The sequence below is a fragment of the Homo sapiens genome, chromosome 13 (assembly GCF_000001405.40).
Source record: "Homo sapiens chromosome 13, GRCh38.p14 Primary Assembly".
Lineage (NCBI taxonomy): Eukaryota > Metazoa > Chordata > Mammalia > Primates > Hominidae > Homo > Homo sapiens.
This window is the reverse complement of record NC_000013.11, coordinates 60931559-60943989: the sequence shown is the minus strand read 5'-3', so window position 1 is coordinate 60943989 and position 12431 is coordinate 60931559. Positions and strand designations below refer to the sequence as shown.

At 38.3% G+C, this 12431-nt stretch overlaps 1 long non-coding RNA gene across 1 annotated transcript in view; it reads right to left on the bottom strand.

The window, feature by feature from the left end:
- LINC01442 (long intergenic non-protein coding RNA 1442) overlaps positions 1-12431 on the bottom strand; it is a 29201-nt gene that overhangs the window by 1966 nt on the left and 14804 nt on the right. Inside the window, exon 2 of the long non-coding RNA NR_184201.1 lies at positions 3245-3583. This is a non-coding gene — a long non-coding RNA (long intergenic non-protein coding RNA 1442). The remainder of the gene's footprint in view (positions 1-3244; positions 3584-12431) is intronic.

Below are 12431 nucleotides of genomic sequence, written 5' to 3'. Positions count from 1 at the left end.
TCATTCATACATGAAGGTATAACCAATTCTTTACTCACAGAACTTAAGAACTAAAATTATTGACTGCTCTGGGAAGTCCATTATGCATCTTGTTAAAATTCTGCCCTTGTTAAAATTCTCCCCTCTGGTAGCCTGTTTTTGCATTGCTATAATGAAATACCTTATAACATAAGTTATAAAGAAAAGTGGTTTATTTGGCTCGTGGTTCTATAGGCTGTGTTCTATAGGCTATAGGTTCTATTATTGCATTGCTATAATGAAATACCTTATAACATAAGTTATAAAGAAAAGTGGTTTATTTGGCTCGTGGTTCTATAGGAAGCATGGCCCTGGCATCTGCTCCTGGTGAGGGCCTCAGGAAGCTTCCAATCATGGCAGAATGTGAAGGGGGAGCAGGCATGTCACTCAGTGAGAGTGGGAGCAAGACAGAGGGAGCAAGGGCGGGGAAGGTGCCACAGTGTTTTGAACAACCAGATCTCACATGAACTCAGAGCAAGAACCCACTCATTACTTCGAAGACAGGACTGAGCCATGAGGGATCTGCCCCCATGACGCAAGCATCTCTCACCAGGCCCCATTTCCAACATTGGGGATCACATTTCAACATGAGATTTGGAAGAGAAACACATCCAAACCATATCACCCTCTTCACAAGGTCAGGGCCCAGAGTGTGAATTACCTGCTACAATCTTCAAAGTGCCATAAATTGTGGAAGCTGCTTAATTTCCTGCTCTGTGGTCTTCGGGTAAGAAGTACTAGAGGTCCATTCAAAATAGCTTACGCTTAAAAGTAGAAATTCGGTGTAATGGTATGGGATTTGATTACACAAGCTAAGGGGAGAACACATCTGATCCCTAGAAACAAATAGAAGCAGGGACTTAGGCTGGCTTTCATATCCGGACTCTTCTTTTTTGGTGGGGGGCGTGGCTAATTCTTCTCTCTCTTTCTTTAGAGTGGCCTCCTCTGCTTCTCCAGTCACCCAGGTAGAGAAAGTGATCCCAATAGTTCTAAGTTTAGATATTATATTTTCTGCTACTATGTCAGAGAATGATCTCTCTCAGTTCTGATTACAAATTCCTAAGAAAGAAATAAGTGTGCTTTGACCATTTCCTCCAATCTTAGTGTAGCTCCTTACTACGTACCAGCTGATCCTTCTAAAGTTTCTCCCATCTTTGAAAGAAAGCCTACCATTTCTCTCATATCAAGAAATCAGTCAGCTATGATCACTTTAATCATAGCTTCAGACTATTTAATGTCTGAAGAAGGAAACCAATGGTTACTGAATATCTACTATGTGTTTGCTAATTTTATGTGAAGTATCTCATTTAATCTCCACAATAGATACGAGGATAGGCCTTAGGCCTTTGTAATAAATGAAAAAAAGCATTTATACGTAGAGGCCTTAATGTAGCATGCTCAGTAACACGGCCAGCATGTGTCAAGGCTAAGCCTCTCTGTGAAATTCAGAAATTTTTTCTTACATTCTACTCCCTTCAATTTTTAAAATTTTTTTTAAATATAAGGACACCTTATAATCTTTTCTTGAGATTTTTGGTCTAAGAGATCTGGGTTTTCCATATCTCACCAGACTGTGAGTACTTGTGATATTGTAAAATAATTATTTGGTCTTCTTCCCCATTTTCTCACATACAACTCCTAAAATCCTTAGAATATCCAAAGTGATATCTTTTTGTATGCTAATGAATTGACTGATGGCTGGAAGCTCCTAAGTAGCTTCAGTACGGGGCCTGGTCACTGGAAAGACTAAGACAGGGTTAGAGGGTTGGGACTTTTCCTCCCCTCAACCTCCAGGGAATGAAGAAGGGCTAAAGGTTGAGTTGATCACCAATGGCCGATGGTTTGATTAATCATTCTTGTGTAATGAAACCTCCATAACAACCCAAAGGGACAGGGTTCACAGAGCTTCTGGACAGCTGAACACATGGAGGTTCCTGAAAGGTGGCATGCCCAGAGAGGGCATGGAAGCTCCATGCACCTTCCCCTATACCTTGCCCTCCCCATGTCTTTATCTACATCCTTTGTTATGTTGTTTACAATAAACCTGTAAACCTAAGTGTTTCCCTGAGTTTGTTACCCGTGGAAGGTATCCGAGTTGCCAGGAGTGACTCCATGCAGGTCTATGACAACCTCAATTCTTGCCTCCTCAGAAAAAAGAATTCAACTGAGGGACAAAGGCAGAAAAAGAGACCTAGGCAAGTTTCAGAGCAGCAGTGGAAGCTTATTTTAAAAAGCTTTAGAACAGAAAAGAAAGTGTGCTTGGAAGAGACCCAAGCATGTGACTTGAAGAACAAGTGTGGTCTTTAACCTGGATCCTAGGACTTTATAGGCTGGCCCCTTTCCCATGATTCTACCTTAGGGTGGGCTGCCTGCATGCACAGTACCCTCCTTATGCTTGGAAAATGACCACATGCAGTGTGTTTAGGAAGTTGTACACATGCCCATCTGAGGCTTTTCTTCCCTTTTCTGGTGGAGTGTGCCTGGAAGATCATACTCAGCCATTTTGTCTCTTAATGTGCATGCCCAGAAATTTGCTCCCCACTGGCATCTGCATTCAATTAACACTTTAGTGCAACAGGTGTAGATCATCAGGAAGTGGCCTTTCCCTGGCACCGGCTGGCAACTTATCACTTTTAGAGAGGCAATGTGATAATTGCCAAACCATCACCCAACATTCCTAGTAGGTGAGGGAGGACCCTCTCCTGCCCCACTCATGCCTGTCTAACTACCTGTAACAAGTTCTGTGAGCCACTCTAGCAAACTAATCGAACAGGAGAAGGGAATTTTGGGAACTTCTATTTACAGCCAGTCAGAAGCACAGATATAAAAACCTGGGGCTTGTGATTGGCATCCAAAGTCGAGGGCAGTCTTGTGGGACTGAGCCCCCAACCTGCGGTATCTGATGCTATCTCCAGGTAGATGGTGTCAGGATTGAAGTGGAGGATACCGAATGCTGGTGTCCACTGCAGAATTGATCACTTGCTTGGTGTGTGGGGTGCAGCGGAGGACCCACATTTGGTCACAGAAGTCTTCTGTGTTCATTGTTGTGGGATGAGAGCAGAGGAAAATCTATTTTCTCCACAGTTTGTTTTTCCTCACACAGTACTTATGTGCTTATATTAAGTTGAGCAATCCACATTTCATTGGCTTATTAACCCCTTCACTATTCAAATCCCATCAATGACTCTGGCCCACCTTCTCCCTAGTGGCCTCAAGGGCATCTCACCTGAGCTCACAGGCAGGCCCTCCTAGACTTGCCTCCTCCCATCCCCTGAGCAGTGATCCATGGCCCAAGGAGCCCTTTGAGACGGCAGTCTCCAGATTTTCCTAATGCAGACGCTCATGGCAAAAATGCTGCTCACTATGCCATGAGTCCTACAGCTTGCTTTCTCCAAAGCTGCAAAATCTTGAGATGATCTAGAAGCTCTGTTTCAGTTTCAAAGTTAAGGGCACTGAGATATCATTTTGTTCTATTTAGAAGTGGATGGAAGACTCCTCTCTCTCACTTTCTCCTTTTTTAAATGTTTATGCAGGAAAGATGCTATGCTTCACTCATCTTTGAATCCTGTGAGATAGAGATAAACAAACCAAGTGAGCACTAAGTAAATGCTTGATGAATAAATAATATCTGTGGGTGTTAAGTGCCTGATCTCAACTCAGTTGTTGGATTGTTTTGTTTTAATATACCTTCTAACTGCTGCATAAAACCGAAATACCAAAACTGGGAATGGTTCTGTTAGACCCTCGTCCTCAGGAGGCTTGTCCTGGAAACGTGATCCTTATGGACCAGCATTTCTCAAAGTATGTTTCATGGAACATTATTCTGGTAAGATCTAAGCAGATAGCAACTCTGAAACCCAGTAAGAGTTGACTTTGTAAGATAAATGCACGCACATTCCTCTATCAGAGAGCAATGTGTAGAGTAGCCTATGAAGGACTAACTTTGAATAACAAGTTCTTTTCCAAATGCATGTGGCCATAGAAATACTTGCTCACTTAACACCTATTAACATTACTTGTAACTAAAGGCATATTAATAAGGAAATATTCCTCTTAATGTAGTGTTCTTAAAGAGGAAAATATTTCATCAAAATCATATCTGGAGAGCCATGATGCAAGACTGCAGCGCTCAAGGAAAACTTCATTCCCATTCCCCAATGCACGATCCCCTTTGGTAGTTACGTAGTAGCTGGGCCTTTCCCAGATACCTTCTCCAGTGAAACTGACAACCCAGTCAGACTGGAAAGAAATCATGTGTCCATAAATTCCCACTTTCAGGCCCACTGCACCCTTGGCTCTCCGTCTCTGTGGCTGACTATTCATGTAAAACATGGTGCAACTAGAAGGTAAAGAAAGTAAAGATAAAGTGAAATCTAGTTTGCCTTCAGCACTTTTTAATGGTCCAAGATGGTTTCAAGTCTTTTGCTCAATTTTGGAAACATCTATTATCAATGGATCACAGTAATCCTGATCATGGGAATAAAGTCAAAGCCAACAATTTTGGTAAAATTAACAATAATTGTACCCCAGGAAGAGACAGTTACTTATTTTCTTTTTACATGTAGGTAGTCACATTTAAGTTTCTGTAACAGTCATTTTCTAGGAACAAAAGGAATGATTACACCTGAGCTTAGCTATACAGTGATACCAAATACAAGTTTTGGTATCTCTCCAGATTATCTAAACTACTAAACCAAGCTGGTAGATTTAAAGCAGTGGCCTCTAAAATAGGATGTATTTATGTAAGGGGTTTTCAAGATGATGTACTGGGATACTGAGAAGAATTCTAACACTGGAGAAAAATAATAGAACTTTAACTTTTATCCTTTTCCTATTAATGCTTCTACTTTCTTTGTATTTTCTAAGGTACATAGCACCATTTCAGTAAGTTCTTTTTTTTTTTTCAGGCTAAGGAATTCTCTTTTTATGGCATCTACAGCTTTAATGAGAAAGAACTAGACATTGAACTAACATCTGGCCTGTCCCAAACCACACTGAATAAAGAATCAGGTTCTAAAATTAAAGTGCCACCAGTTAATTTTAAAGCAGGTATTCTATGGAACACTGACTGCTAGTCCTATTGTGGATTATTATGCAGAATGCTCGGTGTTCCAAACATCTTTAGAAACTTTGTTTTGTAATTTTTCAATCTGTTAATGATCTTCAGTTCCACATTGTTGAACAGGAGATGTTCAGTTCTATTGACTTTGAACATTGCCTGTTGTTCCTCTGACATTAAATGCAGGCCTGGGACCCCCAAGACATTTCCACAGAAGAGCCACTGATGGTAGTTAGCTATAACTTATCTATAAAGAGAAAGACCTTTAAGAAGACAATAACTGCTGTTTATAAATCACTCTGTAATTTGTCCTCAAATTAAAAGTTGTTATGATTCAACATTAAGATGATAAATTCTGAGTGGGAAAATTGAGACTATTATTAATTTTTTATAATGAAGAAGGTTCATTTTCAAAATAGACTTGGAGTGGCTTTGCTGATTAGCATAATAATAAGATGGTATAGTCTCAAATATCATTATTAACCTTCTAAAAAAAAATTGGAAACCAAAGCATTGTCAGTCTCTATAATTTCACCAGTGCAAGGAAAAAGGTAAGCCATAGGTTTCATGAAATCAATGAATGAGTTATTGTTTCTACAAAACATTCATAATTTGTGTGCATGAGTCTGTGTTTGTTTTCCTTTTTCCCTCATTATTTGACCATGCTGCATGTGAAACAGATCTGTGAGTACATCTGTAACAACATTGCTGGGACTTTAATAAATATAAATAAGACAAATTAAATCAGGTAAAAACTTAATCGAAAAAATGGGATTTGTTCAGTATCTTGAAGGCTTAGCACCTTGTGGAAGCTCAATAAATATTAAATCAAGGTAACAACATTTAAGACCTGTTGAATCACAAGGAAAAACTAATTTCAAAGTCCTCAGCTATCTATAAAGGACCCCCTGCTTCCAGGCACTGAATTCCAATTTTAGGTTTCTACCAGGTATGCTTTAACAGATAAGCTTATAACAGTCTGCATAGGGAAAGATATTATTTGTGATGCAAAGAAGAGTGAAAGCTTTTTGAATATAATGAATAAAACTCCTAGAAGAGAAGACTGAAAACCCCAGGAAGAAAATGATTCATCAGATCAATCGTTGAATAATTTTCTCTACTCTCTAATTGTAAAAATGCTTTGAGAATCTCAAAGCCAAGTTTCAAATCTAAAGCCAAGTTTCAATAACTTCATAGGTGAATTGAGAGCTGTGTGTGGGCTAGAATAACTTGAAGTAAAGCCAGTGAACACAGATTAGCTCTGGATAGTCTTACTCGGCAACTTTCTGGAGCCTCCTCTAGAAAAGTTAGGTTTACCAAATAAACCTAGATTTCATAATATTACTTATATAAAAAGATGCTCAACAACATCCTGTATACTTTGGAGTTGCTTCTAGAAAAGTCCCATAGAGATTTTTAATAAGACCAGGTTCCTATTGTAGATCAGGTGCCCAGTGTTCAAGTCAGGGTCCTGGCCTCGGCATTTAGTAGGTAGTTGTGTGACCTGAGCATTTCCTTTAACCTCTCTGGTCCTCAGATCTATTGTAAGTAAAATAGCGATGGTAACACTATGTCAAAAGGTTTCTGTGCAGATTAAGAGAGAAAATATACGGAAAATAAACTGCATATAAGAAGCTTGGAATAAATAATTGTTAAATCTAAAAGGGATCTAAAAGAATCTAAAATCTAAGACTCCCCAGGTGAAGCAGATGAAAGCCTTTGGCTGCTATATTGGTTAACTACAGAATGCTGGAGAGTATCCGCAAGTAGCATCAGGCCATAGGGTATCTACCACCAGTCCCCATCCATGGATGGGAAGAAGATTTTAGAAAGACTCTGGGATGGTTTCAGAAAGTCCAGAGGGCACTGGACTGAGTCAACACACTCAGGTACACTTTAATGCCCTCTTTGGAAGTCAATACCATATTCAGTTTCCCAACATAGAAAGGCTTTTGAAAGATGAACCAATTCTGCACCACCTACAAAGCTTCGGATTACTTGAAGTACTCATTAATTCCCATGACATTTTCTGCCTGTTGAAATTGTTCAATGCTTACCTCAAACTTGGCTTTTCCCAAATATTTCCCCATATCAAATGTTTGCTTTCCCACCACTGAAAATCATATTGCATTTTGCATCTATAAACATATCTCAATTTATCTTAACTTACATTTATTTGTATGATTGTCTTACTGTCTATGTTAATCTGCTATTGCCATCATAATGCTGCAAGAAAAAAACCCCAAATATTAATGGCTTCCAACCACAACCACTGAGTTTTCTCCTTTTACTGTGTTTGTCATTTTCCTATGACCGGTGACTATCAGGTGCATGTTCTTTCCATGGTGGGTCACAGTAGTATTAGAAGATAAGCCAAACCACACAAACACATTTTGAACCTCTTCTACATCATGCACACTGACATTCCAGGGGCCAAGAGAAGTCACGTGATCAAGCCTAACATCCATTGGGCAGGGGCGTATATTTCATATACACTAGTGGAAGGCTTGTCAATGGCACAAAGGTGTAAAAAATTGAGAACAATTATCCAGTATCATATTATGTATAGCATATAGCAGGCTCTATTATGCCAAATATGTATTGCTCATTTATGGAGTCTAAACAGCTCTGTGCTTTAAAAGCATTTGCTCCCACCCAGATTCATAAAGCAAGTCCTTAGAGACCTAGAAAGGGACTTAGACTCCCATACAATAATAATGGGAGACTTTAACACCCCACTGTCAACATTAGACAGATCAACGAGACAGAAAGTTAACAAGGATATCCAGGAATTGAACTCAGCTCTGCACCAAGCAGACCTAATAGACATCTACAGAACTCTCCACCCCAAATCAACAGAATATACATTCTTTTCAGCACCACACCACACCTATTCCAAAATTGACCACATAGTTGGAAGTAAAGCACTCCTCAGCAAATGTAAAAGAACAGAAATTATAACACATTGTCTCTCAGACCACAGTGCAATCAAACTAGAACTCAGGATTAAGAAACTCACTCAAAACTGCTCAACTACATGGAAAGTGAACAACCTGCTCCTGAATGACTACTGGGTACAGAACGAAATAAAGGCAGAAATAAAGATGATCTTTGAAACCAATGAGAACAAAGACACAACATACCAGAATCTCTAGGACACATTCAAAGCAGTGTGTAGAGGGAAATTTATAGCACTAAATGCCCACAAGAGAAAGCAGGAAAGATCTAAAATTGACAGCCTAACATCACAATTAAAAGAACTAGAGAAGCAAGAGCAAACACATTCAAAAGCTAGCAGAAGGCAAGAAATAACTAAGATCAGAGCAGAACTGAAGGAAATAAAGACACAAAAAACCCTTCAAAAAATCAATGAATCAGAAATAATGCCACATATCTACACCTATCTGATCTTTGACAAACCTGACAAAAACAAGAAATGGGGAAAGGATTCCCTATTTAACAAATGGTTCTGGGAAAACTGGCTAGCCATATGTAGCAAGCTGAAACTGGATCCCTTCCTTACACCTTATACTAAAATTAATTCAAGATGGATTAAAGATTTAAATGTTAGACCTAAAACCATAAAAACCCTAGAAGAAAACCTAGGCAATACCATTCAGGACATAGGAATGGGCAAGGACTTCATGTCTAAAACACCAAAAGCAATGGCAACAAAAGCCAAAATTGACAAATGGGATCTAATTAAACTAAAGAGCTTCTGCACAGCAAAAGAAAATACCATCAGAGTGAACAGGCAACCTACAGAATGGGAGAAAATTTTTGCAATCTATTCATCTGACAAAGGGCTAATATCCAGAATCTACAATGAACTCAAACAAATTTACAAGCAAAAAACAAACAACCCCATCAAAAAGTGGGCGAAGGACATGAACAGACACTTCTCAAAAGAAGACATTTATGCAGCCAAAAAACACATGAAAAAATGCTCACCATCACTGGCCATCAGAGAAATGCAAATCAAAACCACAATGAGATACCATCTCACACCAGTTAGAGTGACGATCATTAAAAAGTCAGGAAACAACAGGTGCTGGAGAGGATGTGGAGAAACAGGGACACTTTTACACTGTTGGTGGGACTGTAAACTAGTTCAACCGCTGTGGAAGTCAGTGTGGCAATTCCTCAGGGATCTAGAACTAGAAATACCATTTGACCCAGCCATCCCATTACTGGGTATATACCCAAAGGATTATAAATCATGCTGCTATAAAGACACATGCACACGTATGTTTATTGCGGCACTATTCACAATAGCAAAGACTTGGAAGCAACCCAAATGTCCAACAATGATAGACTGCATTAAGAAAATGTGGCACATATACACCATGGAATACTATGCAGCCGTAAAAAATGATGAGTTCATATCCTTTGTAGGGACATGGATGAAGCTGGAAACCATCATTCTCAGCAAACTATCGCAAGGACAAAAAACCAAACACCACATGTTCTCACTCATAGGTGGGAATTGAACAATGAGAACACATGGACTCAGGAAGGGGAACATCACACACCGGGGCCTGTTGTGGGGTGGGGGGAGGGGGGAGGGATAGCATTAGGAGATATACCTAATGTTAAATGACGAGTTAATGGGTGCAGCACACCAACATGGCACATGTATATAAATGTAACACACCTGCACGTTGTGCACATGCACATGTACCCTAAAACTTAAAGTATAATAAAAGAAAAAAAAAAGCGTTTTCTCCCTCCATCAATTAATTCCCAGTTAAGTACTGAAAACCCAAAGCAATCCCATTCCTAGCACAGTGTCTGGCACTTAGGAAACACACAGCAAATGTTTGCTGAATTAATTTCTTGAATGAAGAAAAGTTCCCTTAATCCATATCAGGCACTTAAGTGGAACTTCTTTACACCGTTTCTGTGCTTCTTGAAGCCACAAAAGATTTAACCTGAAAACCTAATCAATAGCACTTCAATAGCACTCCCATCAATAACACTCCCAAAACTGTAGGCTCTAAGAATCAGGCAGTGTCTTGAGTGATTAAAAAGAGGATTATCACCCTTATAGTCTTTATTAAATGCAGGGGAGCTGAGTCATTTCTGTGGTTTATTACACAAAGCAGGACACTGCATCAAGGAGGAAGACAAAATATTTAGCTTTGCCTTTTTGTGAATGAGCCTTAGAATAAAGCCAGATCTGCTTTTCTGGAGGACACTTCTTTGCCATTCTCATTTTTTATTTTATAACTTCCTTTCGGCATTTAAAGTCTATGAGATCTGAAGAGTTGAATTTGGTAAGTAGAAACAAAATTATTGAGTCTTCATTTGCTGATTGTATCCATGCAAAAAGAAATTTTACTGCCTTTCTCAGAGCATTGAATTTTTCACTCTTAGGCTGTAGCAACAAAGTGGAAAACTTATTCCTGTCTCTTCCCTATACAGTGACAGTCAAGTTTCAACTACAAAGATGCCTCAAGGCCCAGTGATTATTTAATTATCTCCTGGAAAATAATTTCCGAATGTGACAAGGGCATCAACAATCTCCTCAAGCCTGCTAAATTTACTTCTTCTGTCACCTTGTCGACTGTCTCTTCATATTACTTCTCCTGCAGGGTCATATCTAAATTTCGTGGAGCCTCAGGTTTATATAATTGGGAAGGAGGCTCTAAAGAAAAGGCTGGAAAATTGCCAAGACAACATTAGATTTAAACAAAATCCTGCCAGCGAAGACCCCTGAAAACTTAAGCTTCATTAGCTTCAGGATTAATCCACTTATAGGCTCCCCTTATAACTAATGTTGCCAGGTAAAATACAGGATGCCCAGTTAAATTTGAATTTTAGGTAAACAATAAACAACTTTTTTATTATAAGAATATAGTCTTGGGGACAGATTTATACTAAAATATTATTCATTGCTTATCTGAAATTCATATTTAACTGGGCATCCTGTATTTGTATTTACTAAATCTGACAACTCTACTTAAAACATGGAGAGAAAAGGCAGACACCTAAGTTCCTAAAACAAATCTATAATACCCACGTGGGTCTCTTTAGGCCTTCTCTGACTTCCCTAGATAATTAGGATCTTGGTCTTTATATGAATAAATATTGCAGAATTGAGTTTCATTCACCCCTGGTTAAATGCTATAAATTTTTAATTAATTTTTATATCTAAAAATTCTATGTGGAAGAGATATGGCATGAATGAATGCTTTTCATTCAAAAATAACTTCAGTAGCAAAGAGACAATGGTAATTAGAAATAAATGCCAATAGATTGTCATATGAAAGAAAAGTAACTTTGTCACACTCAAATTCCCTCGGTAACATATTCTAACCTCTCCTAGCCTTTACAGTGAAGATGTGCTATCATCTTCAAAATTTGCAACCTAAACCATCCTGCTTGAATTTAACCCTCTTGTCCTCTCCTTAATTTAATGGGAAATATCACTAATTAATATATGGCTTTCCAGACTGGAACACTGTTGTCTTTCTCAGGCTACTCTTCTCCAAGTAAAACAAACAAACAAAAAGCCTCCATTGCATTAGTGTCTGCTCCAGGGAGTGTCTCCCAGCACTCTCACAGAGCGGACTCCTCCATGCACAGATACTCCCCACACCTCAGGATACTTTAGTTTTAAGATCTGGCCACAGGAAAGAATGTTAAGGAAAATTTTAACTGAATGTTGAATATAATTTGAAAATAATCTCATAGATACAAATTTCTGTACTATTTTTAAGATGTTTTGGGAAACTTCATGTGTATTTCGAATTTGTCCTCATACTGACAATAAAATGGAAGTCCTTGTCAGATAAAAGAGAGCGGAAATGTGTTTCTATGAGCCATATAGTAACCAAAGAATGAAATTCTCTATCGATGAGTCACATGCCTAATAGTTTGGTTAGATATGTATTCAGGTGCACAGAGCAAATATTGAACTGAAAAAATGACCCTGAATGCAATCCAAAAATGTTCACAAGACTGATATTATTAAAAGAAATATAAAATTCAGTACATTCCTTCTGAAGTTACAATTTTGAAAGCAATACACAGTTTATTTATAAGTTCTATTAGTTTCTTTTGAAATGCTTATCTCTTTGTAATTGCAAATTTTTTTCTTCATATGTAAATGGAGAAAATAAAAGCACTTATTTCATTGAGGTGTTGTAGGGATTAAATGAGACTATATTTAAAGCACAACACAATGACTATAATACAATAAGCACTTGATAAATATTTTCTATCAGTATCATTTTCACTACTCATTTTTAATAAGTTACCAAATATATATATATAGGAGATATTCTTTTCTGTCCTTTCTCTTCTTTTAGTTTCTTTCTTTCTTATGCCTCTGAGTACTTGCCATATTGTC